The 15,541-nt window shown below is 50.4% G+C and overlaps 1 protein-coding gene and 1 long non-coding RNA gene across 3 annotated transcripts in view, besides 7 other annotated features; both read right to left on the bottom strand.

Moving 5' to 3' along the window:
- EFR3B (EFR3 homolog B) overlaps positions 1–7,664 on the bottom strand; it is a 117,060-nt gene extending 109,396 nt beyond the window's left edge. Inside the window, exon 1 of one of the 2 annotated variants that reach the window (NM_014971.2) lies at positions 7,421–7,664. In NM_014971.2, coding sequence (NP_055786.1) covers positions 7,421–7,427 — 7 coding nt within the window. In that variant the 5' untranslated portion in view covers positions 7,428–7,664. Of the gene's footprint in view, positions 1–7,073; positions 7,278–7,420 lie in introns of those variants that run through there. The other variant, NM_001319099.2, reaches the window with a different exon arrangement.
- Positions 6,271–6,400: a silencer, noted in NCBI's record as "silent region_11243". NCBI's record gives its function as "represses an Ori minimal core promoter by ATAC-STARR-seq in GM12878 lymphoblastoid cells {active_cell/tissue: GM12878}" and the evidence as "EXISTENCE:reporter gene assay evidence [ECO:0000049][PMID:35858748]".
- Positions 6,731–6,860: a silencer, noted in NCBI's record as "silent region_11242". NCBI's record gives its function as "represses an Ori minimal core promoter by ATAC-STARR-seq in GM12878 lymphoblastoid cells {active_cell/tissue: GM12878}" and the evidence as "EXISTENCE:reporter gene assay evidence [ECO:0000049][PMID:35858748]".
- Positions 6,731–8,656: a biological region, named in NCBI's record as "H3K27ac-H3K4me1 hESC enhancers GRCh37_chr2:25263953-25264902 and GRCh37_chr2:25264903-25265851".
- Positions 6,758–7,706: an enhancer, noted in NCBI's record as "H3K27ac-H3K4me1 hESC enhancer chr2:25264903-25265851 (GRCh37/hg19 assembly coordinates)". NCBI's record gives its function as "activates a minimal SCP1, AML or CMV promoter by ChIP-STARR-seq in naive H9 embryonic stem cells {active_cell/tissue: H9 hESC(naive)}" and the evidence as "EXISTENCE:reporter gene assay evidence [ECO:0000049][PMID:30033119]".
- Positions 6,971–7,050: a silencer, noted in NCBI's record as "silent region_11241". NCBI's record gives its function as "represses an Ori minimal core promoter by ATAC-STARR-seq in GM12878 lymphoblastoid cells {active_cell/tissue: GM12878}" and the evidence as "EXISTENCE:reporter gene assay evidence [ECO:0000049][PMID:35858748]".
- Positions 7,181–7,800: a silencer, noted in NCBI's record as "silent region_11240". NCBI's record gives its function as "represses an Ori minimal core promoter by ATAC-STARR-seq in GM12878 lymphoblastoid cells {active_cell/tissue: GM12878}" and the evidence as "EXISTENCE:reporter gene assay evidence [ECO:0000049][PMID:35858748]".
- Positions 7,707–8,656: an enhancer, noted in NCBI's record as "H3K27ac-H3K4me1 hESC enhancer chr2:25263953-25264902 (GRCh37/hg19 assembly coordinates)". NCBI's record gives its function as "activates a minimal SCP1, AML or CMV promoter by ChIP-STARR-seq in naive H9 embryonic stem cells {active_cell/tissue: H9 hESC(naive)}" and the evidence as "EXISTENCE:reporter gene assay evidence [ECO:0000049][PMID:30033119]".
- Positions 10,046–15,541, bottom strand: part of DNAJC27-AS1 (DNAJC27 antisense RNA 1) — a 67,583-nt gene continuing 62,087 nt past the window's right edge. The window contains exon 3 of the long non-coding RNA NR_034113.1: positions 10,046–14,467. This is a non-coding gene — a long non-coding RNA (DNAJC27 antisense RNA 1). The remainder of the gene's footprint in view (positions 14,468–15,541) is intronic.

Raw genomic sequence — 15,541 nt, 5'->3', positions numbered from 1 at the left:
CACCTCCACGCACACTTCCTCACATTGGTGCCTCCACCAGCCACACCTGCCTCCCTTCTCTGCCCCTCAGTAGAGGAGAAAGGGCTGTTGTTTCTGAAGCCTGCCCAGATGACTCCACCTCGCACTGGTCTCTTCCACTTCAAGATACTGCTGGTTGAACATCTGATGAGTAACTCCATTCCACCGTGCAAAACAGTGCAACTTTACTGAACTTTATATCATTTAATTGTTTGCATGTTTTATAACTTGTTTGCCCAGTTAAATTCTAATGTTCTTGACAGAAACTACTTTTATATATTCTTCTATCCCTCATGATGGCCTCTGTAGTATCATACATAGCTGCTACTCCATAAATACTTGATAGCTTATATCCCTAGTCTATATCCCTTCCAAACACAGAGCAGACAGCAAAAGACAGGCAAGTAGTTAATAACTCATACTCCCATGACGATTTACTAACACGCAAATAGTTAGAAGACAAAGAAGTGTTTCACTAATAATAAAGAATGTAAGTTAAAGTGATATACATTTTCTATCAAATTAGCAAGTACTAGGGGAAAAATCTTAATATTGAACGCTCTCGAGAGTATAGGGAGATAGGTGATTTTATAACTGCTAGTAGGAGTATAATGGATACAAACTGAAAGCAATTGAACAATATGTAACTAGTCTTAAAATGTTTATATACCTTGACCAATCCATTTGAAGGGCTACAGTCGAGGGAAAAATTCCGCTAGTAGGAGTACAACGGATACAAACTGAAAACAATTGGACAATATGTAACTAGTCTTTGTAGGGAGCAGCCCCACAGGGTGGGTGGGTTTTTCTCCCCATGTGTGGAGACAAGAGATTGTAGAAATAAAGACACAAGACAGAGATAAAAGAAAAGACACCTGGGCCCGGGGGACCACTACCACCAAGACGTGGAGACTGGTAGTGGCCCCAAATGCCTGGCTTTTCCTAGGTTATGATTGTAGAGCAAGGATTATTATAATATTGGAATAGAGAGTAATTGCTACAAACTAATGAGTAATGATATTCATATATAATCATACCTATGATCTATATCTAGTGTAACTCTTGTTATTTTATATATTGTATTATACTGGAACAGCTCGTGCCCTCGGCACCTGGGTGGCTTGCCACCCACAAGTCTTAAAATGTTTATATACCTTGACCAATCCATTTGAAGGGCTACAGTCTAGGGAAAAATTCCGAAGTTCACAGAAAGCTTTGAGTACCAAGTACTTCTCCAGGGGCTGTAATTCAGAAATACCCCTAAATGTACAGAAAGAAAATTATACATCCTTTCAGTGCACCGTTATGTAGACATTAAAAATGATAGCCAAGGAGTTTACTAACTTGTGGGGCATGCTTATATTCTAGTGCTAATTTTAAAAAAAAGGATATAAAATGAATGATTCCAGGCCAGCTGTGGTAGTTCATGCCTGTAATCCCAGCACTTTGGGAGGCTGAGGTGGGAGAATCACTTAAGGCCAGGAGATCAAGACCAGCCTAGGCAATATAGCGGGACCCCATCCTACAAAACACAGAAAATTAGCTGGGCATGGTTGCACATGCCTGTAGTCCCAGCTACTCAGGAGGCTGAAGCAGGAGGATCACTTAAGCTCAGGAGGTTGAGGCTACAGTAAGCCATGATAGTGTCACTGCACTCCAGCCTGGGGGAGAGTGAGATCCTGTCTCTAAAATAAATAAAAGGTTCCAACCGTCTAAACAAACACATGGAAAGAAAGATATTAGAGCAGTAAATGTTATATTGTTTATAGTTTACTGTATTTTCTAGATTTTCTAGAGGGATTCGATGATTTTTTATATTTTTCCTTTGTTTGATAGAAGGAACGGTATCACAGTACTGTTCTTAATCTTATGGAACATAAATTTTTATTTGTTTTATTTTTGCCTTTAAAAGAAAAATTAAGGGCCAGGCATGGTGGCTCACACCTGTAATCCCAGCACTTTGGGAGGCCAAGGTGAGCGTATCAGTGTGAGGTCAGGAGTTCGAGACTAGCCTGGCCAATGTGGTGAAACCCCATCTCTACTAAAAATACAAAAATTAGCCAGGTGTGGTGGCACACGCCTGTAATCCCAGCTACTCGGGAGGCTGAGACATGAGAACTGCTTGAACCTGGGAGGTGGAGGTTGCAGTGAGTCAAGACCACGCCACTGCACTCCAGCCTGGGCAACAGAGTGAGACTGTCTCAAAATAAATAAATAATTAAAAAATAAAAAAATTAAGAAACAGAGAAAAGAGAGTTAAGAAAAGGGGAAGGGAAAGTGGGGGCAGCTCTCTTATCCTAATTCATCTCTGCCATGAGATAAACACTGCTGTCATCTTTCCAGAGGCAGGAAAGAGGCTCAGAAATGCTCAGGTTCAAGATTACCCGAGGGTCGGAGCTAGGGTTCAGACCCAGGCTGTGGGGTTCTTGGTGCTCCTTGAAGCCAGGATCAAAAAGAAATAGCAAGGAGAGGGCTGAAGGAGGTGAACACAAAACCAGAGCGGTAATTGATGTCATAGATAGAAGGTTGCTTTAAATGGGTAGAACTGTGGATGATTTTTTTCTCCACTCTTTTCCAGATTTTTCTGTAATATAATATTACCTTTTTATTTTTATTTATGTACAAGAAAAAAACTGTGACCACTTGTATTCACTGAACTGTGAGCAGCAAGAGAGAAAACAGGCTCACCTGGCCCCCTTCTCAAGGGGAATAAAGGAGTTGGAGTGGTAGGTGGGAGGGGGAAGGGCACACAGCTCCCACATGCATAGGCCATACCTGGATCATGGGGCTGCAGAAACCTTAGGATCTGGGGGAGGAGGCTGGTTTATGTGTGTGCACATGCGCACATGTGCTGTGGGATCGCCCTGAGGAGGAGCAGGGAGTCTATGGAGATTTCTGCAGAGTAAGACTTTGTACTTCGGCCGGGCGCGGTGGCTCACGCCTGTAATCCCAGCACTTTGGGAGGCCGAGGCGGGCGGATCACGAGGTCAGGAGATCGAGACCATCCTGGCTAACACGGTGAAACCCCGTCTCTACTAAAAATACAAAAAATTAGCCGGGCGAGGTGGTGGACGCCTGTAGTCCCAGCTACTTGGGAGGCTGAGGCAGGAGAATGGCGTGAACCCCAGGGGGCGGAGCCTGCAGTGAGCCGAGATCGCGCCACTGCACTCCAGCCTGGGCGACAGCGAGACTCCGTCTCAAAAAAAAAAAAAAAAGACTTTGTACTTCAGGGGGAGCCTGCCTTGCCCTGCAGTTTCTCCAACCTTTTGGCAACAGTCTCACTCACGAAATAGGATTCCGTCAAGCACATTTTCGGTGTGGTTTTTTGTTTTGTTTTGAGATGGAGTCTTGCTTTGTCACCCAGGCTGGAGTGCAGTGATGCTATCTCTGATCACTGCAACCTCCGCCTCCCAGGTTCAAGCAATTCTCCTGCCTCAGCCTCCCCATTAGCTGGGATTACAGGTGCACGCCACCATGCCTGGCTAATTTTGTGTTTTTAGTAGAGACGGGGTTTCACCATGTTGGCCAGGCTGGTCTCAAATTCCTGACCTCAGGTGATCCACCCACCCTGGCCTCCCAAAGTGCTGGGATTACAGGCGTGAGCCACTGTGCCCAGCCCAAGCACATTTTCAAAAAGTTGTTCACTGTCGCTATTTACAGTCAGCATTCTCAACCACTAAGCGGGACGAGAGGCATTTGCTGAGGATGAGGCAGCACTCAGAGGTGAGGAAGAATTAGGGCAGCTTTGGTGTTAGTGGGATCGGGGTGCACAGACTGTGGTTGGGGAAATCCTTTCCAAACGTCCCTCCTAGCTGGCTGCCCTAATTCAGAGGGTGGCATTTCTCAGAGCTCTGTTTCACCTCAGCGGGGAAACGGGATGCTCCAGCCCAGATGAGAGCAACAGGGAAACTCTTAGCTATATAATTTTTTTTTTTTTTGAGATGGAGTCTCGCTCTTGTCTCCCAGGCTGGAGTGCAGTGGCGCCAATCTCAGCTCACTGCAACCTCCGCCTCCCAGGTTCAAGTGATTCTCCTGCCTCAGTCTCCCGAGTAACCGGGATTACAGGTACCTGCCACCACGCCCGGCTAATTTCTGTACTTTTGGTAGAGACGGGGTTTCGCCATGTTGGCCAGGCTGGTCTTGACCTCCTGACCTCAGGTGATCTGCCCGCCTCAGCCTCCTAAAGTGCTGGGATAACAGGCGTGAGCCACCACGCCCAGCCTTAGCTGTATAATGCTAACAAAAAGAAAAGCTCATGGGAATCCATTTTTGCATAGAATTTGCTAATGATCTTCCCACCCCAGTAAAAATGCTTTCATTTTTTCATGTCCCTTGTCAGTCTGCCTTCATAGGATTCCCACACAAAACTGTGGGCAGTCACTGTGTCCTTTTAGAGAGCCATTTCCAGAAACTGATGGGTTTAGGAATGACTGAGTGGTGAGGAGACAGCTGGGGTGAGTCTGAGAAAGGGAAGTGGCTCAGCGGCTTGGCACTGGCACAGTCGAGGTGATGTGCCTGTGTAAGCGGGGGTGGCAGGTGATACAAACAGGCTGTGCCCGAGTTGGCAGAGAGGAAAGGAGGGAACAGGTCCAAGGGGGCCCAAAGAGGACAGGCTCTTGAGCAACCAGTTTCAGGAGCTCGGAACCTCTTGTGATGCTCACAACAGACCTGGAAGGTAGACAGACATGCGTTTCACTTTTGTATACAGGGATTTAATTCTGAGTGACAATTCCACTTGCCTGAGGTCACCCAGCCATGAAAGGGCTCCTGGATTCAGATGGGATGACCTCAGAACAAGGATTCCTTCTATCCTAGATAGCACTGTGTCCAGCAAAGACATGGGGTTCCCAGCCTCCCATAAGCAGAAGGAAGAAGGCTGAGCTGTGGAGGGCAGAGGCAGGGTGAGGAGGGGGAGGGATGGGAAACGGAGATCCTCCAGAGCTGGACAGATGGGAAGACAAATTTATAGTGGCACAAGTCACCAAGGTGGGTGGACAAGGTACACCTTTACCTAAAGCTCTTAGGTGACTTTCGGCTCCATAGGGGGGCCTCTCTGCCCATCACGTTAATAAAACCCCTGGTGGTATTTTTCTAATGAGACTTTATAGGACACACAGGGGAGGTCAGGAGGTGGGAGGGGGAGAAGCGCAGTGCCAGGAGGCCCCCATTTTCATTGTGCCCTGTTCCATCTAACTCTGTCACCCTGGAAAAATAACTTGTAAAACAAGAGGAAAATTGCAATTATAAGAAGTCTATAATTCTGTGATCCCCGCCCCCAAACCTCCTTACTCACTTTTTTTCATCACTCTATTGACTTCTGGTGAGAAAATGATTTTAAATATCACATGAACCCTTTCTTTTCATGAAAGTCAGGAATATACGAAAATCCAAGCAGTTGAGTCCTCACCAGGGGGAGTGGGCTCCCTCCCACACCTCCTAAGATCAGACTCTGCACCCAGCAACTCAGTAGTAATTTCCCACCCAAGCTTGGTGTGACTTTCCTTTGCTGCAGGCAACTGCCCAGAGGATTCCTCCATTACAATCTTTCTATGAATCATTCAGGGTAAATACCATATCTGTTTGCATCTGGGGAAATAAAAATATATTATAAAAGAGAAATGAAAACCTGAGATGTGTCTGAAAATAGCACCCAGATGCTTTGATTCCCCAGTTCACCTTTCTGACTATCCAGCTCTTCCTTGTCTTGCTTCATACAACAGAGGCAGCCTGGGACCCCCACCTTCAGATATCTCGGGTAAACGACCAAATTATCTTGGACTAAATGCAATGAGGCAGCCCAGCAGAACCCAGTTCCTAATTCTGACCCATTCTGATGAGCCTGTCCTAACTCCTTCCCCACTGCAGGTGCCCCTGCAGTCACATGCTTTTGTCAAATGATCTGCAGCTTCAGGCTGCTACCTCTGCAGAAAAGAAGAGGGGGAAAACAGAGAGAGTAAAAAAATACACACATACTCCTATATATATACATACATATCACAACCTCTGGCTTATAAAGCATAACCGCCTTTTTACCTTTCCCCAGAGTCCCCAGTGGTCAGCAGCACAGCCTCTCAGGCCAACCTCCCCCTCCTCCCACTTGGTCCAAGAGAAATGGTACTTGCTGAGGGGACCTGCTGATGTCTCACCCTGGATCAGAAATGCAAACGTATTTCTGAGCAACTGGGCAGGGAAGGAGACCGATGAAAAAGTTGAGTCAGTCTCTCTCTCTCTCTCAGTAGGGGGGCCCACCAATTGCTGAGCCTTTCCACCAGGCTCTCAGCTTCCTCTGCCTCTAACAAACTTTGTGACTCACAGTCTGTTCGCGGAGCGAGGCAGCTGAGCAGCCGAGCAGCCTCAGTGATGGGTTAAATTGGGAACGCACTCTTCTCCAAACACTGACCCCTCAAGTGCAGCCTGAGCCCCTACCTTGCAGTGGGGGTGGGAGGTGAGCACAGCTCCAATTATTTTGCTGGCACTAGAAGAGCTGCCAGAGACCTGGGTTTTCATGGACTTATGTCTACCGGGATCACACACACACGCACAGCCCTTGGTGGGCTGCAGGCTCAGGAATGCAGTCCATTCCTAGACTGGTCTAGGTCTCCAGTGCTCCATTCATCAGAGCTGCAATGTGGGACCCAACGCGCTCTCTCTTCTTCACCCACACTGCCTGCAAAACCAGAGGGAGTCCTAGCAAATGATCAAGCAGAGCCGTGCATCGTGAGGGTCTGGCTAACTGTTGCACGGCAGTTGAGGGGATGGCGGTGGAGGCGGGGAGAGGTCAGGGCTGTGCTGCACCCTCTCAGCAGCGTCTCCTCCCTTCATCACTGCGGAGGGAAAATCTGGAAGTTGGTGAACCTGGATCCCGCGGGGCGGCAGGGGCAGGCAGAGGCCGAGTCCATTCAGGCGGGCGAGACGAGACTCGGCCACTGGCTGCTCCCCGGGCCTCTGCGCCGCCGGCGCCGCCTCCCGCCTTCTCCGAGCCGCGCAGACGACCGGCCGCGGGCGTCTCCCTCAGCCCTGGACCGGCTTCCCACAGAAAACTCCCAGGCACAAACCGCTTTTGTTAATTCCGCAAATGCTGCCACACGACCACCTCCTCCAGCACTCCCGGTCTGCTCGGCTCCGGGAGACCCGCTTTCCCCTGAGCCTCCGCCCCCCGAAGGACCACCGCCCAGCACCGGCACGCGCCGGGCCTGGAGAGGACCCCAGGGTCCCCGGCCCGAGGCATCTTTGTCCTCGCAGCGCAGACGCGCGCGCACAGAGCGACCGCAACAGCCCCGCCGGGCACCAGGTCAGCGGCCTGGCCCCGCGCCAGGGCCGTGCAGGGGGACAATGGTCCGCGCCGGGGAAGTTTGCGGAGTCGCCCCCGCGGGCCCGGGCCCGGGCGCGGAGCCCTCCTTACCGTACATCTCGGCGGGGCGCGCGCCTCTCGAGAGGCCGGCGTCGCTGCGGCGTTCCCAGCCAGCCCTCGGCGGCGCCCGCCTTTCATTCACAGTCGGGGCGGGGACTGGCGGCGGCCGACAGGGGCCCGGGCGGGGAGGGAGCAGACGCGGGGGCCGGCCGCGGGCAGGACGGAGCCGGGCGCCGCCAGCCCATTCAGCGCCGGGCTGCAGCGGCCGCCTCCGCTCGGGTTGCTGGGCACTGCTGCGCGCAGGGGGCGGGGGCTATGCTAATACTAATGCTCCTCCCTCCCGGCTCGGCCAACCCGAGGCCTCTGCGAGCCCCTCGCCCCGCCCCGCCCCTGCGCCCCGCCCCCGAGAAACCCACAGCCGGAGATGCGCCTTTTCCGAGGCTGTCGCCCTAAGGGCCGCAGCGTGCACCTGCGGAGCTACCCACCCCAACTCCCTGCTCCTGTCGGAGCGCTCGGAAGCTCTCCCTAACCTGGGGTCCTCGAGGTCAGCCGGGGCGCTGAGAGCTGCAGGTGCACCCCTCCTCCAGTTCTGTCCAGGCTGCGTGGGCTAAGCCGGGGGGCGCAAGGATGGGAATTGGGGAATGACTTCCACCCTCTCCTGGCTAGGTACCTTAGCTGAGCGCCGTTCTCTGATGAAGCCCTCCAGCCCTCAGCTGCGCCCTACCAGCTACTCTCTGGCTAGGTGCCCAGCCACTCTCTGGCTAGGTGCTTGCTACCACCAAACAGCGTCCTTCCCGGGTCAGGGACGCAGGAAACGCACCCCACTCCCAACCCCCAAGGGCTGCAGGAAGTCCGCTTGCTTTTCCTCTCCCTGATTTATATGTGTAATTCGCAAGCTTTGCCGCCAGGATCCTCTCCAGCTGAGCCCCAGCGCCGACTTGAATTCCAGCTCTGCACCTGCCGTGACCCTATGAGGAACAGGCACAGAGAGGCAGCGGCTCATGCCTACGCCCACACCTGAAGATCTCTCCTAAGCTAGCTCAGGACTTCCCTGGGCTTCTCATCCAGCCTTCTTTACATTGCACACGTTCCCGTCTTTTTTTTTTTTTTTTTTTTTTTTTTTTTTTTTTTTGACATGGAGTCTCACTCTCGCCCAGGGTGGAGTACAGTGGCACTATCTCGGCTCCCTGCAAACTCCGCCTCCTGGGTTCAAGCGATTCTTCCACCTCAGCCTCCAGAGTAGCTGGGACTACAGGTGCGTGCCACCACGCCCGGCTAATTTTTGTATTTTTTGGTAGAGAAGGGATTTCACCATGTTGGCCAGGCTGGTCTGGAACTCCTGACCTCAAGTGATCCGCCCGCCTCGGCCTCCCAAAGTGCTGAGATTACAGGCCTGAGCCACTTCTCCTGCCCCTCCTGGCCTTTCAATATCGATTTCTTAGTTTCTCTTGGCCCATGGTTGAGAGTTGTTTGGGTTTTCTTTTGTTTTTTTCTACTGGTAGAAATATTCTACTAGTAGAAGTTAGAGAGGAAAGGAACTTAAAGATACTTAAGAACTGAACTTCATTTTACTTCATTTAACGTTGAGAGGTTAATTTATGTTGTTAGGCTGGGCTGTGTGTCTGTAGGCCAATGATCTACTCTCTCAACCCCAGCTTCCTGCAGGACTGTTGGGAAACTGGAATAAAATCTACATGAAATGACACAGTGGGCACTCATGTATATTTTTTCCTTCCTTCATGGCTCAAGGCAGGAACAGAGCCAGAGAAAGAATCCAGGTTGCCAGACTCTTGAAACAGTGCTCAGTCTGTTGCACTCAAAACTTATGTTTCCTATTTTTCTCTGGCCTGGGCCTCCACCTCCCGCCCGCGCCCCACTCTCTTGCTGTTTCCAGGTTTTCTTCTTCTTCCTTGACCTCTTTGACTCTCTTAGCAGCATGCCAGCCCCAAGGGAAACCCTGGGATGGTTCCTGGAACACACATTTAGTCTAGACCCCCCTACCCCGGGCACACACTCCCTGCATCTCACAAATAACCTCTGTCTCTGTTCTTCAGTTCCAGGACCAGGCCAGGTGGCTTTAAGATTGACTGAGAGTCAGACTTGAACTGGAGCAGGAAGGAGAATCTCAGCTCTAGCTTGATATGATCACCCAGAGACACTCCCTTCCCACAATTCTGCTCAACACAAAATATACTCATGAAACATTGGTGTCTACAGTACAGAAGGAAATGCAGTGTCTGTCTTCAAAGAATGAAAGGTCTAGCAGGGAATTCCAGATGAATACTGATAAAAACATTACTTGAGGCCAGACGTGGTGGCTCACACCTGTAATCCCAGCACTTTGGGAGGCCAAGGCAGGTGGATCACCTGTGATCAGGAGTTCAAGACCAGCCTGGCCAACATGGTGAAACCACATCTCTACTAAAAATACAAAAATTAGCCGGGCATGGTGGTGCATGCCTGTAGTCCCAGCTACTCGGGAGGCTGAGGCAGGAGAATCGCTTGAGCCTGGGAGGCGGAGATTTCAGTGAGCTGAGATTGTGCCTCTGCACTCCAGCCTGGGCGACAGAGTGAGACACTGTCTCAAAAAAAAAAAAAAAAAAAAAAAAAAAATTACTGGGCAGGAAAAAAACATAGTCAATTCTGCATGAGAAGTACAGACCTCTATTTAGAAAATTCACAAGGCTGATAGTTTAATTTGTTCTTTCTATCAGCTATTTACCAATCACTCCCTATGACATGCTAGACACTGTGGAAGGTACTTAGGAGCGGGGAGACATGTAAAAATTATCATAAAATCTTATAATGACTATGGAGGCACATACAAGGAGCAGGGAAGAGTTTCATGAAGGGAAAAAGAAAAAACAATTCAGGTGTGGGAGGAGGGGCACAGGGCTTCCAAGCCCTCCCCCAGGCACCACCCTCCAGGAACCTCGATGTGTTCAGTTATCCCAAAGCTCCCTGAACCCTGTCCGCTTGGGTTTTTATGAAAGCTTTATAACGTCAGCATTCCTTCCCCCGGGGTATAGGGTGGGAACCTCTCTGGGAATGGTCTTAAGAACAACCATTGGAAAGTCCAGGAAAGATTAGAGTCCTGCCTGGGGGCAGGTGAAAGGAGGGCAGGAGAAGGAGAGAGTCTGTTTCCTGTGGCCTAACACACTCAATATTACAACAAAAGACTGTAACAAGGGCTATGGGAGTTATGAGCCAGGAATCATGGAGGAAAACTGTCTATCATAACAACACAGCATTCAAGGTCCTTCCAACAGGGCCCCAGACTTCCTTTCCCACCTGGCTTCCACCTCCTGTTCCCTCCTCAACTGTGCTCCCACTAGATGGGCTTGCACACCACACTTACCATACTCTTTCCTCTACCATCTCTGACCTTTGTAAATTTCAGTCCCTCTGAACAACTTCAGCAAATTAATTGAACCCGAAGAGGGAGTCACGGGAACCCCAACTTGAAGCCAGTTGGTCAGAAGTTCTGGAGGTCTGGACTTACAACTGGTGTTGGGGGAACAGTCTTGGGGACTGAGCCCTCCAATGTGGGATCTGACACTACTTTTCAGTGTCAGACTGCATTAGAGGACACCCAGCTGCTTGGTGTGTGGGGAAACGCCCCCCCCCCACCCCGACATTTGGTCATAACTCTTCTGCGTTGATTGTTGTGATGTGAGAGTAAAGGAAAAACGCTGTTACAGAGTATTTTCCCCGTAAAACCGCCCAACCCAAAAGCCTTCCTGTCAGCTCTAGGGTTAGCAGACGAGCTTAGCCAACATGGCAAAACCCTATCTCTACTAAAAATACAAAAATTAGCCGGGCATGGTGGCAGGCGCCTGTAATCCCAGCTACCCAGGAGGCTGAGGCAGGAGAATCACTTGAACCCAGGAGACAGAGGTTGCAGTGAGCCGAGATCGCGCCACTGCACTCCAGCCTGGGCAACAGTGTGAGACTCTGTCTCAAAAAAATAAAAATACAAGATGCCCAATGTAATTTGAGTTTCAAATATATAAGGACTGATTTGTAATGTACGCCCCAGGCAGTAGGTGAGACATACTAAAAACATTTTTTGTTTGTTTTCTGAAACTCAGATTCCACCTAAGTTTTATCTGGCAACTGTAGTTAGCAACAGCCATTGGAGGGTGCTCCTGGATCCTCATGACTGAATCAGGCCTGGGGTAGGCTTCCCCACCCATGCTCCCAACCTGTATCACCAAACAGATCCCACTAGAATGTGGTTCCTAAGGAGATAGGGATAAGGCTGCTTTGGCCAGTCTGTCCCCTTTGGTATGGGTGCCTTGGCCAGAGGCCTTTGGCCCTGCAGATGCCAGCTTCTCCCATCTGTGTGTCACATGGCCTGTGAGAACCATGAAAAGAGGCTCCAATTCTCTGCTGTCCCCCAGGGGCTCAGCAGACAACATTGTTCTGCGGGCTGTATGCATTAAATGGCAAAGGAATCCGGCCCATACCCAGCTTCTCTGAGGTGCAGTCAAGGTGTTTAGACAAAATATGTGCAGGAAATGATGCTGTAGAGGTTGACCACGGTGGCATTATGTATATAAGGAAACTGAGCCTGGGAGAGAATGCAGTCTTCGGGCTCACAGTCTAGAACAGAAGGGCTGGCCAGGTATGGTGGCTCACACCTGTAATCCCAGCACTTTGGGAGGCCGAGGTGGGTAGATCACAAGGTCAGGAGTTCAAGACCAGCCTGGTGAATATGGTGAAACCCCATCTCTACTAAAAATACAAAAATTAGCTGGGCGTGGTGGCAGGCACCTGTAGTCTCAGCTACTTGGAAGGCTGAGGCAGGAGAATTGCTTGAAACTGGGAGGCGGAGGTTGCAGTGAGCCGAGATTGCGCCACTGCAATCCAGCCTGGGTGACAGAGCGAGACTCTGTCTCAAAAACAAAAACAAACCAAACAAAAAAACAAACAAACAAACAAAAACAAACAAACAGAAGGTGGGAACTCTAGGATCTCCCTCTCCAGAATAGTGCACCCATGAAGAGGTGCTGAACAGAAGTCAGCCATTTAGGTGAGCTATGAAAAGGAGGCAAAGTGAGAATTGGGATTCCTATCTTAAAAAGCTTCTTAACTTTAGCTGCAGAAATCCAAAACATGGGGACCGGTATGACAGGAAGGCAAGTAGAAAAGACATCACATTTACTGAGTGCCCTAATGTGATATGCCTATGCCAGGCACTTTACACGGGTTGTGTCGTCTCATGGAATTCTCTCAGCACCCGTGCAAGGTAAGTACTACTATTCCCATTTTACATCTGGGAAATTGAGGCCCAGAGAGGTTCGACTACTCTCTAGTACATGGGCAAGCAGAGATTCAAACCCAGGACACTCTGTTCAAAACCCATTTTCTTTCCACCACACTATGCTGTCTCGTGGCACACACCAATGTGCACATCACAGCTGCACTGTAAGTCAAGTATAGTTCGGAATTCTTGACCCGCATTTGCTCCTCTGCCTCACCTGTTTCATGTCCCCCTTCACTGGGTTTGGAGGGTAGGGATTGGAGAGGGCTGCAGGCTATCCATAACATACCTGGGCACTTAATTTCCACCCTGCTCCCCCAGGCCTCATCCATGGTGGGCCTCTCCCATGACCTTGACTGGAACCCAGGGGCCTCCTGGGACTGGTTTGGTCAGGCCAGAGGAACTAAGCCTTAGAAAGGTTACTATTCTTTGGCCAAAGTGCACCCTGGTAAATGTGGTCCTCTGCTATGACAGCTCAAATGATATCCTCTGCCAAGAGCAAGCAGCACAGTGAGGTCCCAAGTTTCCATATGAACTAGAGACTGAATTTCCCTGCGTGTCACAGAAAGGGAGGCTTAGAAGTGGGAGGAAATCTACAGCCATTGCATAAAACGCAGGAACCCCCACTCGCATTCCAGGCTTCAGCATCCCCGTCACATCCCCATCATCACATCACCAGGGCCTGTCCTGTAGTTACAGGAGTCTGGTTTCCTGGCACTCCAGCCTCACACAGCCCATCAGCTCAACTGTGTCTACAGAAAAGCCTCTTATCTCCTCCTCATCAGCTACAACAACTGCAGCCCCTCTTGCCTAGGGCGCCAGCCTTGAGCAGCCAACGGCTTTAAAGCACCTCCCAGAGGGAGGGAAGAGGGAAGAATATGACAGTCCAGGGAATATAGCTTCAGGGAAAAAAAAAAAAATTGTGGGACCTAGAGAAGGGCTCAGGGAGACCCAGAGGGGAGAATGAGCTCCTAACGACTGTCACACAGCGGATTAGCTGTGAAGCCAAAAATAGAACCCAGGATTCCTGCCTCCAGGCTGGGTGACTTGAACCCCTGGCACTTCTCCCTTAAAGCGAGTTAACCTACTTGACCTACTTCTCTGAAGCTACAGGGAAGAGCAGCCTGTGAAAACAATGCCCAAGTAGAGGAGTGGGTGGGTATCCAAGGCTGAAGGCTGCATCTCCGCAACACGGCAAACAGCTCAGAAGCCTGGGCAGCATGATGTGCTTCATTCACCAAGGTGGCAGGGAGTTGCCTTGGGCTGTAGGAGGGACATGAATCGGGGTGGGGAGAGCTGCCTGCTCCCAGGAGATGGGGCCTGGGCACCTGGGATGGAGAAGGCTGCCGCGGGACAGGTTTCGCAACTAGATTTTACCACGGTGTGAGCAGTGTTTGAGGTATTTGCGGTTGACATGTTGAGGTTTAAAAGCACCAAGCAGGCTCTCCCAGCTGCATCCACTTCATGGCCTTGAATTGATCCTGCGTTCACCCTCTAGAGAGGGGCCAAGTCACCTTCTTCAGCTGCCAGCCCCTATGGTCCCTGGAGAGAAGTCTCCCTTCTTACCCGAAGCTCAAATCCATGTCCACTTGCTTCTGGTCAAAAGCTCAAGCACTGCCATGCCCATGACCCAGACTCTAGTCTAGACCAAGGAAATTCTGCCTCTTCACTCTCTCCTTGCTGCCAGCAGTAGGAGGCACCTGTCGGGGCCACCCATTACCTCCCATCTCCATCCTGGGTGATACTTGCTCTCACTGCAAAGCCCAAGCCCACCCACACTCTGAAGGACGTGAAGGTCCATGGCGTTGCTTCCATCTCTTCTTCCTGCTGATCTGCATGACATGGAAGAGAAAAGAAGAGATAGGAAATGAATAGCTGGTCACATAGGTGATCTTAAAAAGTCAGATATGGCTTTCCTGGCCATAGCTGAGGAAACCTGCATCTCACCACAGCCAAGGAACAGGCTTGCCCAGAAACTGGCCAACCCGATCAAAGAATGGTTTAAACAAAATGAAAGGAGAGGGAGAAAAATGCCTCCAGGGCCAGGCGTGGTGGCTCATGCCTGTAATCCCAGCTCTTTGGGAGACCAAGACAGGAGGATTGTGTGAGCCCAGCAGTTCGTGACCAGCCCTGGCAATACGGTGAGACCCTGTCTCTGGAAAAAAAAAAAAAAAAAGAAATTAAAAATAAAAAAGATTAACCAAGCATGGTGGCATGTGCCTGTAGTCCCAGCTATTGGGGAGGCTGAGGTTAGGGGAATCACTTGAGCCTGGGAGGTTGAGGCTGCAGTGAGTCATGGTTGTGCCACTGTACTTCAGCCTGGGCAACAGAGTAAAACCCTGTGTCAAAAAACTAAATATATAAAAAGAAAAATGCCTCCAGGAAATTGTAAACCTGGCTAACAGAAGAATACAAAAAGAACATGTGAGATGCTGAACCCCTAAGACCTGAAAATTGGTACTGGTGTAGGAAGAGCCCCAGCTCTGCGATAGGGCCAGATGCAACCTCTCCAGGGAAGTTACTCTCGCCCACCTAAGCCAAACCCTGCCCTCCAGGCCTTGTAGAGCCACTGCCTCATATGGGCTTTGGACCCTGAAATCACCCCTCTTTCCCAATAAAGCATGCTGCTTTTTACATTCACCCGAGCCCCCTCAGGGTTTGGCAGCTCTGCAGTTAAGGATCCCTGGCCATGCCCACTTTCCATTTTCTGGACTCTTCTTGGCCACAGGACTCCTCTATGATACTCAGCCCCAATCCTCAGCTTCCAAATCTCTAGCCCAACCCTCACTTTTCTGGCTCAAGGATGACAGCTGACTTCAGTCTCATGACGATGGCCCAAGGAAGAGGATGTTCAGCAATTCTCAGTGAACATGATGGAGAAGCTCAGACGTCTACACGCCAACATG

Source organism: Homo sapiens, chromosome 2, assembly GCF_000001405.40.
Source record: "Homo sapiens chromosome 2, GRCh38.p14 Primary Assembly".
NCBI classification, from domain to species: domain Eukaryota; kingdom Metazoa; phylum Chordata; class Mammalia; order Primates; family Hominidae; genus Homo; species Homo sapiens.
The sequence above is the reverse complement of the archived record's forward strand: the minus strand, read 5'-3'. Positions and strand labels throughout refer to the sequence as shown.